This window comes from Homo sapiens, chromosome 4 (assembly GCF_000001405.40).
Source record: "Homo sapiens chromosome 4, GRCh38.p14 Primary Assembly".
NCBI classification, from domain to species: Eukaryota; Metazoa; Chordata; class Mammalia; order Primates; family Hominidae; genus Homo; species Homo sapiens.
Window position 1 is genome coordinate 86,346,348 of NC_000004.12, and position 19,768 is coordinate 86,366,115.

The 19,768-nt window shown below is 36.8% G+C and overlaps 1 protein-coding gene across 14 annotated transcripts in view; it reads right to left on the bottom strand.

Annotated features, from left to right (window-relative positions):
* MAPK10 (mitogen-activated protein kinase 10) overlaps positions 1–19,768 on the bottom strand; it is a 583,670-nt gene that overhangs the window by 335,943 nt on the left and 227,959 nt on the right. For 6 of the 14 annotated variants that reach the window (NM_138982.4, NM_001318069.2, NM_001351624.2 and 3 more), the window contains exons 1-2: positions 13,311–13,706; positions 8,183–8,297 (exon numbers count right to left, since the gene is read on the bottom strand). The exons of 5 other annotated variants lie outside the window; for them this stretch is intronic. The gene's annotated coding sequence lies outside the window, so the exon portion shown is untranslated. Of the gene's footprint in view, positions 1–8,182; positions 8,298–13,310; positions 13,707–19,768 lie in introns of those variants that run through there. 3 more of the 14 variants (NM_002753.6, NM_001318068.1, NM_001318067.1) reach the window with 1 other exon arrangement.

The following is a 19,768-nucleotide window of genomic DNA, read 5'->3' on the forward strand; positions in this document are numbered from 1 at the left end:
TACTTTGTCAACTCTGCATTACCTATGGTACCTAATACAAGGTAAATGCTATGTAAATAGTTATTATACTGTATTGTTTATAACAAGAGAAAAATGTCTGTGTGTGTTCAGTACAGACATAACCATCATAGGCCTAACTACATTTTCAAACCATGGTTGGTTAAATCTGCGGATGTGAAACTGCAGACACAAAGGGCTAACTATATTAGTCTGAAACTCACAAAAGATGAAATATGGTCATTCCTTGGTATATCCGGGACCTCAGGTCTCTAACCAAATCCACACATACTCAAGTCCAACAATCAGCCTTATAGGAAAAGTCAGCCCTCCGTATCTGGAGGTTTCACATCCCAGGAATACTGTATTTTTAACCCAAGTTTGTTTGGAAAAAAAAAAAAAAAAAAACACATCTAAGTGGACCCACACAGTTTAAACACAGCTGTATAGCTTAAATTGTTTCCTACCCACTTTTTCACGTAGTTTTTGCTAAATATATTTTATTCAATCTTTTTGGCAGGGAATGAGTACAATATTATATATGTACTCATGTGTGTGCACACACACATATGTCTTAATATAAAAGAGTATCTTTATTAAGATTTATATATATCTTAATAGACTAAACTCCAAAGTAGAATTGCATTCATTCTTAAGATTTATAAGTGACTTTCTGAAAGCAGTACTATCAAGATTGTCCAGTCAAATTTGAAAGAGCTTAAAAGTCAGTCTCAGGATTTAAAGCACTAACAAACCACCTGGGCCCTCCAAAAGTACAAATAGAAAGAAAACTTTAAATTTATGGTATCTACAATGCAAATAATAAATTATCACATAAAATGAATGCTGTTAAACTATACACTAAATTTTTCAAGTCTTAACCTGAATAGCTTTGTTATGTTAACCAATTTTTCATTAAAATCTCATACTTTGATTTTAATACTAGTTCCTCTGATACTGGTTATCAAAACACAGAGAATTCTTTATGAAGAACCTAAAATTTTTGCAGATGCTTACTCAGTCTTCAAATAAACTCCAGGAAAATCCCAATTTCTAAGAGAAAGCATTGAATTTGTGCTCCTGATCTGGCATCAAATTACTTGGGAACTCTCAAACAGTGACAGCCCCATCTTCCTAAGACACATAGCTACATGTTCTACCAATCAGTGGAGGAAAAAAGTTTGTAAAAATTTTATACAATACTAGAGTGTCTTAGTCCATTCAGGCTGCTATAACAAAATGCCATAAACTTGGCAGCTTATAAACAACAGAAATTTATTTCTCAGTTCTGGAGGCTGGTAAGTCCAAGATACAAATAGATCCGGTGTCTGTTGAGGTTTCGCTTTCTGGGTCATAGACAGTGCATTCTTGCTGTATCCTTACATGGTGGAAAATACTAGCTAGCTCTCTGGGGTCTCTTTCATAAGGACACTAATCCCAATCACCTCTGTTTTCATGACCTAATCACCTCTCAAAGGCCCCATCTCCTAATACCATCTCCTTGGGGTTAGGACTTCAACATAAGAATTTGGAGGGAACACAAAATTCAGAACATAGTCTGGGGCTACTTATATCGGTTTTACCAGGTTAAATACTCCTAAAGATTTAATTTCCCATCTTGGTAACTGCTGCAGCCATTGAGAAGCAAGACAGAACAGCACCACAGAATTAAACATTTCTGAATATTCTCTTATTCATCTCATTTGTAAGGTATTTGATTCCACAAATCTGTTATGCTAATTTCTATTTCTCTTCACTTTGATTGTTACTGTTACTATTCCTTGGAATTCTTATCCATATACTTACCTGGAATTCAAACCATATCAATATTTTAAGGCTCTATTTAGGTCCAATATTCATCTTTAACACTACAAAGAAGACAGCACAGTAATAAGCATATGCTCCAGAGTCAGAATCATGCACCACTAGCTGCATGACCGGTGGCACATTACTAAATCATCTGTGCCTTGTCTTCACCTTTTATAAAATAGGAATGTTCAGTAGTATTGCTGTCAGGCTCAAGTGAACTAGGACATGCAAAGCACTATGAACAGTGCTTGGCATGAAGTAGGCACTCTATAAATGTTAGCCACTATTGTAGTTCTTTATTATAACCCCCATTCTTCCTGTACTTCTCTGAATAACTATAGATTCATAAGTAATAGGGACCTTAGATCCTACAGTCATTTAGTTCAATCTCCCACACAAAGTAGTATCATCTCTAAAAAGCTCTTCATACTTGGTCAACCATGAAGATGGTTAAATACTTTCAGTGATGAAAACTTTACTACTTTTCAAAAAGCACAGGCTCAAACAGTTCTTATAATAAAAAAAAAATTTATGTGCAGTACCTACTATCTACTCTTTGGTCTCTTAGTTCTGCCTTCAGTACAACTTACAAACAATCCTGCATCCTCTAGCCTCTTTCATATGAAAGCCGTTAAATATTGAAGGCAGTTGCTTGGTAAGTTGCACTCTCTTTCACTCTCTAGCGCTGCCACCCTCCACCTCGATCTTTCCTCTTCATTTCTCTTCTCCGGGCAAAACACTATAATTTTTCTTGACTGTCCACCACAAGATATGTTTTCTATATCTTCACCATCCTCAACAAAATCTTCAGGACTCATTTCATTTTATGAAAGTCATTCCTAATAGAGGGCACTAAAAGCTACACATAATATTCCCAACAGGTTCTGAATAGTAAAAATGACAGAACAACAGTTTGTTTAGGAAAGTAAGGCAAATTTTGGAAAAATTTACTTAATAACAATCATCAAAAAACAATGCTGTTAAATGAGCAATTAAGTTAAATTTTTCTTCTGAGAGATTGGCAAACAACATAGGCTATTACCTAACCTATTTAAATAAGATTATGGACTCTCTGCCAGGCTGCCTTCCACATTGTATCCAGAGACAGAATTTGTGATGCCTTTGTGTAAACTGCTTTTGTCTCTATGGAAGTCTCTTTAGCTATGTGTTTTTTTCTTCATGTGTCTGTCTTTGTCCTGCTTCTGCTTCTTTCTGTATATCAATCTCTTTCTCATTCTTCTTTCTTTTGTCAATCATTCAATAAATATTTATGCAGTGCCTATCAAGTGTCAGGCGCTGTATGAGGTATAAGAAATTCAAAGATGAGTCTTGCTCAAAATACCCCCTGGCTAAGGTGGGAGGCAAAGCAGACACAAACAGATAATAAACAGATAATAAGATACTATGGTAATACAGTGAGGTAGATAATGCACAGGTTACTGTGAGAACACCAAGAATGATTGAATGCTGGATGAAAGGGATCTGAGAGGTTTCCAGGAGGAGATAGAATCTTATGAAATCTAAAGTGATTCTAAACAGTACTCTCAAACTTTAACATGTATTTAAATCCCCTAGGAATCTTGTGAAAATGCAGATTCTTAATCAGTGTGTCTGTCTGAGTAGTAGGACCTCAGATGCTGCATTTCTATCAGGCTCCAGGAGATGTCCATGCTGCTAGCCCCCAGACCATCATAGAGTCACAAACGTCTTAAAGGATGGAAAGGAGTAAGTAAGGGCTGTGCAGAGTGAATACAGGCAGTATAAACAGCATGAAGTAAATCACAGAGGTAGGAAACACCTGAGTAGATGTGATGAGACTGAAGCACACTGGTGTTTCCAGGCAATTTAAAAGGTCAAGAGTATCTAAAATGGGGATGGATGGGAGTATGACATATCATTTTTTGTTTTGTGTGTGTGCGAGACAGTCTTGCTCTGTCGCCCAGGTTGGAGTACAGTGGTGCAATCTCGATTCAATGCAACCTCTGCCTCCCAGGTTCAAGCGATTCTCCTGCCTCAGCCTCCTGAGTAGCTAGGATTACAGGTGCCCACCACCATGTCCAGATAATTTTTTTTTTTTTTGAGACGGAGTCTCACTCTGTCGCCCAGGCTGGAGTGCAGTGGCACGATCGCGGCTCACTGCAACCTCTGCCTCCCAGGTTCAAGTGATTCTCCTGCCTCAGCCTCTCAAGTAGCTGGGACTACAGGAACCCGCCACCATGCCCAGCTAATTTTTTCTATTTTTAGTAGAGATGGGGTTTCACCGTGTTAGCCAGGATGGTCTTGATCTCCTGACCTCGTGATCCGCCCACCTCGGCCTCCCAAAGTGCTGGGATTACAGGCGTGAGCCACCACGTCTGGCCAATTTTTGTATTTTTAGTAGAGACAGGGTTTCACCATGTTGGCCAGGCTGGTCTCAAACTCCTGACCTCAGCTGATCCACCAGCCTTGACCTCCCAAAGTGCTGGGATTACAAAGGCTTGAGCCACCCACCTGGCCAGAAGTATGGCATGTCTTAAGGAAAAGGGAAGTTATTACATGGATGACAGAGTATATTGAAAATTCTTTAAGTAGGGCAATTATACGGTAACAACTGCAAATCAAATAACAAGTCTGGTGGCTTCACTGGTAGAATAATGGACAAGAAGATAGTATGCTAGGCTACTTAAATAAACCTGCCAAAGATGATGATGAGGACCTAAATTATGGCAGTAACAACAGATTTAGATGAAAAAGGACTTGTCTGAGAAATGGTTAGGAAATAGAATAGGTTGATTGTGTCATCACTCGTTAATTTAAAAATCAGGTGGTTGTTATTTCTTTGCATTTTTTTGCAGGCATCGTATCTATTCTTAACCTGACACTTAGAAACATGTGATCTTGGACAAGCCACTTACCCTCCTTAGCAGTTGCTTCCATATCTTTAAAAAAAAGTGAAGATTTGACCCAAATGAACAGTGTCATTGCTTTAAACCCTAAAATTTATGAGCCTGTGAACTAAATTCATCTCATTGAATTGTAGATTCACAAAATGTACTCTTAGTACCTACAATACCTGGACTTTATAAAATGAATTATTAGTACCTACCACAATATCTGTATTTTATATATATATATATACACACACACACACGCAATATATATATGACAATGTATTGTACAATATATGTACAAAGGATGACAATATATTACAACATTAGTCATACAATGTGTGTGTGTATATATATATACAGTGTGTATACACAAACACACACACACACACACACACACACACACACATTTTATGACAAATATTGAATCTACCTAGCCGACAGGTATTAAAACTTGAGACTTTAAAAATCCTTCCTCTTGTTTGCCCACCACATTCATTACCAAGTCCAGTTGTTTGTTACATATGCCCTACTAGCAATTCTTTGGTTTATGCACTTATTTTTTTAACTGGATTCCTGCAATAGCACCTTAGATGTTCTCCCTGGTTCCAACCAAATCCCCTTCCAAACACCGAGAAACTGAAGAATTCTGGAGTCAGAAAGACTTGGGCTTGAATGCTAAGTCCACTGTTCCTTAACTATGTGATTGTCAGCAACTGATTTAACCTCTCTAAACCTTGGTTTCCTTACCTCTAAATTACAGGGATACTAGGAAGATGAACTATTTGTAAAGTACTTACTATAGTGCCTATTACACAGTGAGAACTCAATAAGTGTTAGTTATCATTTTGAAAGACACATCTCAAAAAGATTTGAGCAGGTACTTCACAAAAGACGAAAATCAAATTACCAAAAAACAAAAAATGGAAAGATGCTCTTCTTCATTAGTAATCAGCAAAATGCAAATTAATACTTTTATGAGTACAATTATGTATCTACCTGATTAGCAAAATTTAAGAACTTGTAAATCAAGTGTTGGTGAGAATGCAGAGTTTCTCATATACTGCTGCTGGGAATGTAAATTGATGCAACTGATTGGGGAAAATATTTTGGAATTATTTAGTAAAATTAAAGGCGCACATACCCCAAAACTCAGCAGTTCCTTCCCTTGCTATTTATCCTAGAAAACGGTAAATATCAGAAACTATGAGAACTAATATATATAAACATAAAAATGATATTATATTTATATTTATACTAGCATTAAGTAAAATAGATTTAATCCAAATGTTCAACAACAATAGACTAGATAAGTAAATATTGGCATATTGATACAATAGAATACTATACAACAATTTACATGAATAAACTACATGCATGAACATGAAAGAATCTCACAATGTTAGCAGAATAATCAGGTGATTGAGAGTATACATGCTGTAACTCCAAATACATGGAGCTGAAGCATAGGCAGAACTAAGATTCATAGCCTAGAGATGCACAGATAGATGGAAAACCTACAAAGAAAAGCAAGGTAATGTGCATGACAAAAGGTGGGATAGTAGCTAGCGGTTACCTATGGTGGGGAAGGAAAAGTATGTGATCTGAAAGGGACACATAGGGGTTTGCTGGGAGTCTATTACATCATGTTTGATTTACTTGATTTGTTTTATGTTGTTTGATTTGTTTACATGATGTTTGATTTATAATTATTCTTTAACCAGTATTTGTTTTATACACTCTTCTATGCGTATGGTATATTTCACAATTAAAAAATAAACTGATTATGTCAATCTCCTATTTAAAATCTTTCAAAAGCTCTTCACTTTGAAACAAAATCCAAACTCCTTAATTTTGTCTAAGAGATCCTTCATGGCACATGTCTTGTATCCCTCTTCAACTTTATCTCTGCCACTACCATTTCTGCTTCAGCATAGTAAATGATACCTAGTATTCCCACACAATCATGCTCTCTCAGGCTTCTGGGTCTGTTAAAAAATGTTCCCACTGTGCACTGCATCCTCCCTTCCTCTGGCTATCCTTTCACTGTGCTTAATAGTCCACCAAAAGATCCCTTCCTCTGGGAAGTCTTCCTTGACTAATCTCTACCACATCCGTGGTAGAGTCTCCTCTGATGCACTTCCTTTGGCACTCTAGACCTACCCATGTAATAGCACTTTGTAAGTGCCACACTCTTTAGAACACAACTACCTCCATTAATAAGCACATTTTATTGTAAGTACCCCACTCTTTAGACTGAGGGCTCCTTTAAAGCAAGGACTGTCTTTTATCTGCCCCAAAAGCTAAACATTCTACCTACATCACAGATTCTCAATAAGAGTTTGATTAATGAATTAATATTCAGAATGGAGAGAACATGGTATGCTTTCTACATCACTGGGAGTAACACATAATATATTAGTTTCAACCATATAAAATTGCCCTTATTTTAGGTCAAAAATAGTTTGTTATTGGCAATTGCATAAAATTATTTATAACGCTCATTGAATACATGTTAATTAAGCACAGTATAGTGATGCTATTAGATCTGCTTTCTCAATATAATGGTAGATGGATTGTTTTTTATGAATTGTTTTATAAATTCACTATATGAAATAACTCTAGGATTAATTTCATCAGTCTTCCGCAGTCATAGGCTGTGCATTAATTCACAGGGCAGCCTACCTATCTACAGTTATATAAGCCACTAGGCAAATGAAAGAAAGATATTGATCACTAGCTCAAAATAGCTTCTTTTGGAGTCTTATAAGCACCACAGTCATACTCTAGTTCTCAAAGATGTTATTTGACAGATTATAACTCGTTCATCTCTGCTGGAATCTATTGATTATTGACTTTGGTGACTATGAAGCATCAAGTATTTGATTTAAAAAGACATTCTACCTGTGTGTGCTGATATTTTTATAAAGTAATAAGTTTTAAAGTCATTCCAACTAGGCAGAGCAACTGTATCTATTTTTAACATTGCTTTGTTAAGCAAAAGGATTTGTAGGCTAAAATGCCCATGAATTGAGTTTTATAAAACTGTGATTTCTCTTCTCTTATTTCAGAAGAGCTAAATTGTGTGTGTGTGTGTGTGTGTTCCTGAAAGAAAACCATAATTTAGCTCAGAACCAATTTTTCTACTAAAGGAGATGAATCTGTAAAATATAGTACAATGTTGCAAATAATAAAAGTCACTTAAAAATAATGGTACCCAACTGTTACTCTGCCACATGAAAATGTTAATTGCAGGTATCATCCATGGTGGTAGTATCATGGTGTTATATGCTGCACCCATGCACCTCAAGACTTTTCACTACTGTATGTGGTATTAGTAGTACCACACCAACTATTAAACTTCTGTTCTATTGATTTTCACTTCTGTAGTCGAAATTATTTGGAGCAGTATTTCTCCAGCTCCATGTACAAAACCATATGCAATATTTAAATTGGCTATATAGATCCTAGTTTTCATGCTAAGGAATATTTTTAAATTGGCAACTCACCACAGCTTGTATGGTTTCTCATCTATAGGAAACGGGTCTAATTCAACAGTTTCTTGCATAAGTTGCCATAGTGAAGATCTGAGATGGGCCTGCTGTTGGTGTTTCTCACACTAGCCTGAAAGCAAAGCCAAAAAACAGATGAGTTTGATTTTAAGATTTAAATTTGTATTTAGAAAACCAAAAAGCTGACATCAAAGACAGTTGGTTACTGGGTGGGTGAGTGTAGGCAGAGGAAAGAAAATATCTCAAGGTAATTATCTCTATTCATCATTTATTGCAAGCACAAGAACTTTGATGTTATAATACCAGAACAACTATTTTAATATCTGAGCATAAACTAAATTAGTAATTCTTATTTCAGTTAATATAATTAGTCTTGTGATATGAATTTGGTTTTCTAATACAAGGCACCCCACTCATCCTCAACTGGGACAGCTCCACTATTACATAGATTTACATATTCTGCTTTTCATACAAGATTTCATTGGAACAATGGTTACATAGGTACCAATAAAGGAGGAGAATTTTGAAAACCTCTGAAGTATGCAAAAGAAAGTAAACCTAAGCTGGAGCTCATCTGAAGAGACCTGTATTTATGTTCTTCTAGTTACTAACCTACTTTTTCACCATTATAGCCTGTTACTTCCCAACATTATATTAGACAAGATTCTTCAGAATATGTGGCAGTCTGCAACATTCTACCCAATGTCAAACCATAAGTTTTTATTTCTAGTTTGGAAAATATGGTCATCATACCCAAAATAGGCCTCCTCTTTACCCCAAGTAAGAGTTTCTTTCCTGCCCAGGTGCTCACAATTACTCCTAGGACTACCACCCTCTCACTATCCCACCACCTCACCCCAACACCCCAGTGTAGCCCCATTGTCACCTACCATCACTTCAGAGGAGGTAAATTCCTTTCTCCTCTGAATTTCTATTGCACTCATTATCAAAACACTAATATGGGCCCTTGATTTTATACCATCTTTATTGTTATTTAGCCTCATCTTCCCAAATGAGTATAGGTTCCAAATGGCAGAAACTGTGTTACAGTTTCCCAATTTTTTCTACCATAGCACTTAGCAGAGAACTCAGTACATGAGAGATATTCATTCAATGAATATTTGGTGTGTCCCTATTGTGTGCCAAACAGAAAAAGTCAGTCCCTGATGGGGATTAAACCTTAGTAGAGAATACAGGTAATAGAAGAATAGGCAATTACTATATTATATAAATGCTGTGCTGGAGCTTCCGCCTACAAACACTGAATAAACATTGCCAAATAAACAGACCTAACCTAAGAGCTTTCCTTCACTATCAATGCTTTCAGATCCTATTTCCAATGTATAAGAAGAGGACAATTGCTTTAAGCAATCCATTTTCAGAAAGCACATAGGGCACCCAGGCAGGTTAACACAGACAAACAGGAGTCAGTTTTATTTCTATGAAGACAAGTCACTAAGATGAATTTCTAGAACTTTAAAGTCACTGCTGTTTTTGTTTTTGTTTTTCTTCACACACACACACACACACACACACACACGTGTACAAACACAAGGTAGTGAAAATCCTGTTTATTACTGTGCAGGTCACTGCAAATGCCCAATTGCCTTATAGGGAAGCTTTGCCTTAAACCTGCACACCATGCAGGGTTTTAGAGCAGCTGTGGTTAGGGATGCTTCTCAGGAGACTGTATTCATTTCTTTTTCCATTGAAAACTTCAATTTCCATTCCTACTAGCATTATTTCCATAAGCCTCAAGGATTTTACATCTCATAGTCACCAGAGATAAGAACTGTAAGAAAAGCCATAGTGGCTTGATATGGATCCAAAACATCAAATAAACTAGAAAATCCTTTACCAGAAATAGTATATGTGTGAGGTCTACTTTTTAAACCTAAAATGTTTATATTTAGTGATTTTCAATATTACCTGATGTCTCCTCTTAAGAGTTTCTACCAAGATTCACAATAAGAAATACAGCTTCTCCCTATTAAATACAGAAAACAAAAGATATGCAAAACACAGGTTTTGTATTTTCCCCTTCTTTGCCTTGATCGGTTCATGAGGATAAAATGTACTCAAACTGAAAAATCTTGAGTCAAAACCTTACAACTTCACTCTGCAAACACGTACAGGTTTCTGAAAAGATGGGCTCCAATTCTAAGTTACATTTTTTAAACAATCAATATGCAGCATGATCTTTTTATCTGAATCAGCAGTACAGTGTCTCATCTCAGGCTTATGTAATGCAATAAATATATCCAATATGCCAAAGAAGCAAATGGATTCTGTTCTTCTTTACCAGTAAGCATCTCCCCTACTAGTCTATAGGCCCAACTTTTTCCACAAGTCCTTGGTCCTCAGAAGAAGGTGCAATAATAGATGCATGTGTGGTAGGAGGAAGGCACTCAGCAGTCCTGCAGCAAATAGAGCATTGTACTCCATTCTTGTCACTACTGGACACTTCCGTGCCTCTTTCTGCATGATTGTTGCAATGTCCAACCAAAAGCTTAAAAGAGACTGTAAGAGGAAATAGAAAGGGCAATGAAGAAAGAATTTAAGACAACAATGTGTTTGCTTCTCATTCTAATTGAAGGAAGTCTCTCTTGCTTTGAGTCCTTTATTCTGATAAGCAACCAAGCAATCATTCGATTTGAACACACCAATTCCACTGAAAGTCCTTTGGCTACAAATGTGACCTGAGGCCAGAACTAGAGCATGAAGGGAGAACATCTATCCCCATATTTAACAAACAAGTAAATACCCAATTTGTCTTTAGCTTTTAGTATCAGTATAAAAAGAATTTATAACTAGGCTTACATCCAAAGAAACAGATTCATTTACATGAAACCACAATAAAACCTTAAAAATATATTTATGCCTTTAAACATGGGAGGTTTTTCTAGATTACTTAGGTTGGGCAAATTTGTTTTGCTTATGATGTTCCTGTAGGATATCCTAACAAGGAAAATCTTATTAATTTTCCTATAAATTTAAAATATCTACATTTTATAGCATTGACAATAAATTATCAGTTCATTCTAACCTTAGAATATATAGACCATGTACTATGAAACCATTAAATACTAATAGCTGCAGACATACCAGACAATGACAGCAAAAACACACTCAGCCCCTCTGGGATCTGTTCATAAACATCCCCTTCCAGCATGGCAAACACACTCCTCTCAACAGCAGATGCTGTTCTGGGGCTAGCAGGCAGGAAGCTGGAGGCAGCTGATTTTCCCACTCTACATATAATTTCTTACTGCCTCACTATCCAGAATCGTTTTACTGAAACTGTGAGGATTTTTTAAGAACAGGAGCCCCTCAAATTAAAGACACTTTGCAACAGCAGAGGAATGACAGGCAAATGAGGAAGCATGAAGACTCTCTAATATTTAAGGTCACACCACCTTTGTCATCTGATTTTCTAGTCCCATTGTAGGGGAGAGAAAACCCAGTTTGCTCCACATAAGAAAATAAGCTAATCCAATACTTTATGTCAATTTTAAGAGTGTGATCAAGGTAGAGAAGGAAATACATACCAGAGGCAGCCAAACCGCTACATCCAAAGCATCCAGCCCCTAAAATCTAATGGTTCTGAAGTGGAGTCAGAAGCTTGTGATATACTTATATATTTATTTGTTATATATTTGTAACATATATGCTCACCTAAAGTAGAAAATTCACAGAAGCTTCTCTGAGAGAAATGGTCCTTACTGCAACTATTTTAAATATGTTGATAAGCATTCTGTGTTATCTTCCAGGGTCCGACAACTAGCCGATGAGGGATAGAAGGAGATATTGGATGTTGTGCTGGCAATGCCTGGTGCACTTACACTCGTTTTCCTTCCACCTGAACTGTAGTCTATCCCATATGACTTAGCCTGCTTCCTTGCAGTTTGTTCATAAAAGTTATCATCAACATGGCCAGAAGCAGGCAGGGCTGCTGTACAGACACTGTCAGGCTCTGCACCAAAGGCAGCCCATGTAAACAACCTTGTGATTGCTTCAGAGCCTACTGCTGTGGCATAAGCCATTCTTTTTCTGTGGCTAAATTGCAGTACCCTGGGAAGTTATCTGTTTAAGGGGGTAAAAGCAGAGACTAGGTCTCTAGATTTAAATGTTTGGGGAGGGTGAGAAAAATATATGGATAGATAGTTTTCTTGTAATATCTATAGCCTGATTTACTTACAGATTTTCCAGTAAATTACATTTATTTTGTTGAAGGCACAAATACATAGATTCTAACAAATATACTGCCATACTTATTTCTGATTTTTTTTTCAAAAGAGCTCTGACATTTGCAGGGGACACAGTATCCCAGCACAGAATACCTGGGAATCTTGCCATGAAAAAAAGAAAGCTGACTGCTGTGACTAGGAGATCACTTTCTTAAAGGGACCCCTTACCTATTTGACTGCAGTGCCAATGTTTCCTCTTATCTCTAACCTGACCCCTGTTCTGTGTTCCTCTCCCCGGCTCAGATTTAGCCTAGAGTTGCTCTGCAAGAGTAACGCCAATAGTTTTATATCTAATATATATATAAATACTGTTCCTTAGTAAAATACATCTTAAAATATTTAAATTATACTTCTCACAAAAGTAAACATAAATACATACTAAAAGACATTATTTTTAATGTTTTATGGAACCCATCACATTTTTCAGATATGGAACTAAGGTCAGCACTTCTAACAAGCACAGCTGTTTGGTGTTTTTTTTTTCCTCTCTCTCTCTCTCTCTCTCTCTCTGTGTGTGTGTGTGTGTGTGTGTGTGTGTGTGTGTGTGTGTGTTTCTCTCTCTCTCCCTTCCCTTCTGTAGCCCTGCATTGGTCTAAAAACCCCTGGTCACAATAAGAATGCTCCCTCCCTCCCTCTGCTACCCCTCACTCCAAATGGAAAGGTTTCAACACGCCCAAGTCTGGAAAGAGATGTTCTGCACAGAGGGAAAAACTGGTAGCTTCTTGCTTCAAAGCTAGTTCACTTGATTAACCTGCTTTCCACCCCACCTCTCTCGTCTCTTCCATACTCCCTCTCCCGCCCCACCAGGAGCAATCAATAGACATCACCCCACCCTCCAAAAACAGGTTAGAACCCAGAACGAGCAAAGAGCCACCTACCATTCCGTGCCTGAGAACTACGATCCTGATCCGGCAGTGTTTGCCCCAGAAATCCTCCCTACTTGTTTTTCATTAACCACATTCCAGACTAACATGGAAGAGATTCTTTGGAGATATGGAGATTGTTTAAAATTAACGATGGACAGGTGATTTCCAAGAAAACCCAATCTTAAACTCACTCAAGCCCCTAGGAATTGAGGGGTGAGGACAAAAAAGGAAATTTGTAAAAATGAAAAAAGAAAAGAAAAAGGTAAGCATATAGCAAGCACCACCCACCCCCATAAAAATAAAAAGTGAAGGGGAGGTTAAAGAAAATAGAAGAAGAGTGGCTTGCTGAATCACCCTCTTTCACTGCCTGGAAACCATTGTGCAGCGTGATGCTGCCTGTACCATTGTGGAACCTACCAGAGGAGACGGACAGAGGGCTTGGGGAATGGGGTTGCTATGGCAACCGAAAGGAGCACACATGACGTCAAAGCCCAGAGAGGTCTAGGGAGGGGGATGAGGGGGAAACAGAAAGAGGAAGCGTCTATGTGCAGCTACAGCTACTGTGTTTTCCGGTGAAATGAGGACCAGGCAAATGTAAAGGAATAAGGTTCGTCGGCAGCCAACATCAGCAACTACGACATCAAGGCAGCCAGCCTGCACAACCTGAAGAAAAGATCCATTCGATGCAGTTCTGGCCCTTTGCACAGCAGCACGGAGGAGCAAATACCAGCAGAGCAAAACACCACTGGAAATGCAACCTCTGCTTTTCAACTATCTCTTGTAGTATCTCTAAACGTCAAACAAGTAAGAGATGGTAATAACCTCAGAGGAGAAGCAGGCATTTGAGTGTCGCCTGAACCCCGAGGTCATCTGCACAGCACTATTCCTCTTCTCTGTTTCCTTGTTTTTGTAAAAATCCTGAATAAATATCCACTAAACCAAATTCAACAGACTAATACTTAGGTTGCAATCTGAGTGTACAAAGAAAATACTGATTAATTTGAGTTAACACATCAGAATTCTTTTTTTTTTAATTGCAGATAATTTTCTAGAGAACTGATGAAAATTGTACTGTTACTATTTGGGGCAAATATCGCAATTTTATTTCAGTAATTTGCTCTGCCTTTAACTGTTATAGGGTATTTTTAAAGTCTCCAAACAGTTTTACTATCCATAAATAATAGTTTCTTAGAATGACAACAGTTGACTACTTGCACTATAAAAAAAAATTAGGTTTACCAAATTTGTTTTACCTTTTTTATGTAAGAAAAATTTTCAATACAAATTTCGCTTAAACCAACTCCAGCCTTTGGACTTCTCAAATTACGTAATCTAATTCAATTCCTTTTTTGCTTACACTCTTTTGAGGTGGGTTTCTGTTTATTGCTACCAAGTAGTGCTGAGTTGTAAATGATTCCACATTATGTTTTAGAACTAGCATACTTATATGAATATGAAGCTTCTTCCATATGTTACCAGAAAGATACAACATGCAAGAGATGCAAACTCAGCAGTACTGTAGACACTGAAACACATCATAAAGCTGTAAGAAACGCATACGTTTTTGTTGTCTTTGTTGTTGCTGCTGTTGTTTTATTTGGGGAGAAAATTTAGAAAAAGGAAGGCTTGAGTGAGTTGTATGTCATTGTAGTTCATTGGATAAGTGTTTGGATGTCCCTTTACTCTAATTTCAATTTCAACAAGAATCAATCAAGACTATCTTCTAGTCTTCTCAATGGGCCTACCTGCAAGATAACTACCTCATGCAAAAATATGGATTGATAGCCAAACAACTTTATAACACAAAATAATTGGCATTCTGGCTTTTGAGGTATTATATACTAAGTTTGGACATCAAAAGTCAGTTCCCCAATCCCATGGAAATTAAATCAGTTTGTCGAAGAGATGTCTGCATTCCCATATTTATTGCAGCACTATTCTAATAGCCATGGAAACAACTTAAGTGTCCATCAACAGATGAATGTATATATATTATGCATACCACACACAAACACACATACACACACACACACACATGCTGGAATACTATTCAGACTTATAAGAACAGGAAATTCTGTCATTTGCAACAACATAGATGAACCTAGAGGACATTATGCTAAGTGAAATAAGCCAGGCACAGTGAGACAAATACCATATAATCTCACTTATATGTGAAATTTTAAAAAGGACAAACTTGTAAAACTAGAAAGTAGAATGGTGGTTACCAGTGGCTGGAGGACGGAAAGGTGGACAGGGAAAGGGGGGACATTGGTTAATAGGTACAAAGTTTCAGTTAGAAAGGAGAAATAAGCTCTGGTGTACTATTGCACAGCACAGTGACTATAGTTAATAATAATGTTGCCTATTTCAAAATAGCTAAAAGAGAGGATTTCAAAAGTTCTTACTACAAAGAAATGATAAATATTTGAGGTGACAGATAATGAGCCTGATTTGATCATTCTACAATGTATACATGTATCAAAACATCACATTATACCCCATAAATATATACAATTATTGTCAATTACAAATAAAATAAAACAATTTTTTAAAAGTGAATGTCCAGTAACGTAACATGAATGAGGAAAAAAGGAACGCCATCTCTTACCTTACATTGTGAACACAAATATTTATTCAAGATGAATTGTACACCTCAACATAAAAGCTAAAATATATAACACTATTAAAATATAATATAACTTTTTTTAAAGATGGCTTTCTGACCTTGCAGTAGGCAAAGATTTCTTAGGATACAGAAAGCACTTACCATAAAAAAAAAAAAGAGACTTCATCAAAATTAAAAGCTTCCACTTATCCTAAGTCACCATTAAGAAAATGAATAGGCAAGCCAGAGTCTAGATGATACATATATCTGAATACTCTTGATAGCTGAAAATATTCTGATACACACAAATCCTAGATTATAGAAAACATGTCCTACAATTCAATAATAAACATGAACAAACAATTTTGTTTAATGGGCAAAAGACTCTGACAGGCATTTGACAAAGGAAAATTTATAAATGGCCAATAAGCATATGAAAAAGTATTATATATCATTAGTCAGCAGAAATATACAAATTAAAACCAAAGTGAGATACCATTTCATGCCCACAAAAGTGACTAAAATTAAAAAGACTAACATCATCACATATTGACAAGGACATGGAAAACCAGAACTCTCCTACATATATTGGTAGGAGTACAAAATGTTAAAACTACCTTGGGAAATTTTGGTAGTTTTTATAATTATAAACCTACACCCAAAGTATGGCTCAACACTCCTATTTATAAGGATTCACCCAAGACAATGGAAACCTACGTCTACCAAAAAAAAGTTGGACATAAATGTTTATGCTAGCTTTGCTTATAATAAGCAAAAGCAGGAACAACTCCAAATATATCAACTAGACAGCAGATAATTATGATATACAGTCAGCCCTCCATGTTCATGGGTTCCACATCTGTAGATTCAAAAACTGAAGATCAAAAATATTAGGGGAAAAAGAATAAAAGATAACACACAGAGATAAATAAATACAAATAGAAGTACACTATAACAACTGCTTACATAGCATTTACTTTGTACTAGTTATTATAAATAATTTATAGATGATTTAAAATAATAGGAGGATGGAACACTATGCCATTTTATATAAGGGACTTGAGCATCCACTGCTTTTGGTATGGAGAGGTTGTTCCTGGAACCAATCCCCCTGAGAGTACTGAGGGACAACTGCATTTGCCTAATAGAATATTACTCAGCAATTAAAAAGAATGGCAACCAGAAACAGGTTAATACCAATCATTTTCATCCGTTAGGTGTTAGTTTCCTTTTTAAGCTTTTTGAAAATTTATTTTTATTAATGTTATTTTTATTGGCAGTTATAATTGTACATATTTATGGAGAATATTGTGATATTTTGATATATGTATACAATGTGGAGTAATTAAATCAAATTAACATAACTGAGACCTCACATCATTTTTGTAGTGAGACATTTGAAATTTACTCTCTTAGTTGTTCTAAGATATACAGTACATTATTGTTGACTATAGTCACTCTGCTGTACAACAGATCTGAAAATTTATTCCTCTTGTTTTACTAAAATTTTAGTTAACTAAAATTTTGGTTAAATAAAACTCTTTTTTTTTGAGACAGGGTCTCACTCTGTTGCCCAGGTGGGAGTGCAGTGGTGCAATCACAGCTCACTGCACCTTTGACCTCCTGGCCTCAAGGGGTCCTCCCAGCTCAGCCTCCTGAGTAGCTGAGACTACAGGTGCCTGCCACTCCACCTGGCTAATTTTTTATTTTTAGCAGAGATGAGGTCTAAGTCTGTTGCATAGGCTGATCTCGAATTCCTGAACTCATGTGATCCTCTTGCCTTGGCCTCCCAAAGTTCTGGGATTACAGACAGGTATGAGCCACCACACCAGGCTTGAAACTCTTTATTGTTGTTGTTGTTGTTGTTGTTGTTGATTTGTTTTGTTTTGTTTTTGAGACAGGGTCTCACTCTACCACCCAGGCTGGAGTGCAGTGGTGCAATCTCAGCTCACTGTAGCCTCAACCTCCCAGGCTCAAGAGATTCTCCTACCTTAGCCTCCTGAGTACCTGGGACCATAGGTGCGCGTCACCATGCCCAGCTAAATTTTTTGTGTTTTTGGTAGAGACAGGGTTTCACCATGTTGCCCAGGCTAGTCTCAAACTCCTGAGCTCAAGTGATCCACCCACCTTGACCTCCCAACGTGCTGAGATTACAGGCATGAGCCACTGCTCCAGGTCCATTGAAACTCTTTTGAAGTATTTTCCAAAGATGTTGATTCTTGGTATTAGTTACAAAGAGTGATAGATTCCAACCTTCCACATATATTTTGGTGTGGATCTTACATACTCATTTCAATTATATTTATGTTATTTAAAAAATCTTTTAAGTCTATTCTATACACTTCAGGAAAATTACTTTTCTAAAATTTGATTATGCAATACAAGTTAGTTTAAAAACATCAGTACCTAAATATTTCCCATTCCCGGTTGGATAAAACCAAAACTCTTGGTCAGGTGTGGTGTCTCACACCTGTAATCCCAGCACTTTGGGAGGCTGAGGCGGGTGGATCACTCGAGGTCAGGATTTCCAGACCAGCTGTCCAACATGGTGAAACCCTGTCTCTACTAAAAATACAAAAATTAGTCCAGTGTGATGGCACATGCTTATAATCCCAGCTAATTGGGAGGCTGAGGTAGAAGGATTGCTTGAACCCAGAAGGCAGAGGTTGCCATGAGCCAAGATCACACCACTGCACTCCAGTTTGAGAGCCCTCCCCACCAAATAAATGTTTTCAATGAAAGGAGAAAGAAAAAAGAACAGATACATATTGGGATTATTATGTTTGTCAGGCACTGTTTATATGTATTCATACTCACCATATAAACTCCCATAAAAGTATCTACTTACTTTCATTTGGCACTTACCGTATTGTATTTTGTATTACTGTAACTTTGTGAATATGTAACATCTCACCTTGGCCAGGTAATCCCAACACTCTGGGAGGCCCAGGCAGGTGGATCACTTGAGGTAAGGAGTTTGAGACCAGCCTGGCCAACATGGCAAAACCCCGTCTCTACTAAAAATACAAAAATTAGCTGGGTGTGGTGGCACTTGCCTATAGTCCCAGCTACCTGGGAGGCTGAGGCAGGAGAATCGCTTGAACCCGGGAGGTGGAGGTTGCAGTGAACCGAGACTGCACCATTGCGCTCCAGCCTGGGCAACAGGGTGAGACTCTGTCTCAAAAAAAAAAAAAAAAAAAAAAAAAAAAAAAAAAAAATTCTCACCTTGTACTTGATTATGACTTAATCCTCTATTTCTCATTATCTCCCCTGAAAGTTCCTTTTCCATGTATAGCATATCATCTTATACATGGTAGGTGATCAGTTAACATTTATGGTTAATTATAATTATCTGCAGTTTACAATTCTTTTTTACAGTTATCAAAACTTTTTATTTCAAATATTATTATGGAGTGTTATGTTGTGATATATACAATATTAAAGCAGGTAACCTCTGTTACAATATCACATATTTGAACTTTGTATTTAGGTCTAAAAACACTTTAACTGCTTCAAACTCTTTTTCAAAGTGCTTTCAAATAAAACTGTATGTAATATAGAAGTCTGACTTGAATTTTGAATCTTATCAGTTCTATCAATCATAAGAGTTTTTGAAGGAAGAGTCTTAAATAAGTCAATGTAAGTTCTTATTTTCAAAAGCATGGAAATGTATTTAGTATCTTTTATATGCAAATCTATTTATTTAATGGCATGTGTGTAGTCTGAGATAGGACTAAAGATGTTTAGGAATATCTCTTGCTCTCCAATCAAGGAGATCTTCCTTACCTTATAAATACAAACTTTAGAACATTACATTTTCAGAATAAACTACTGAAACATGCAACAATACAGATGAATCTCGAAA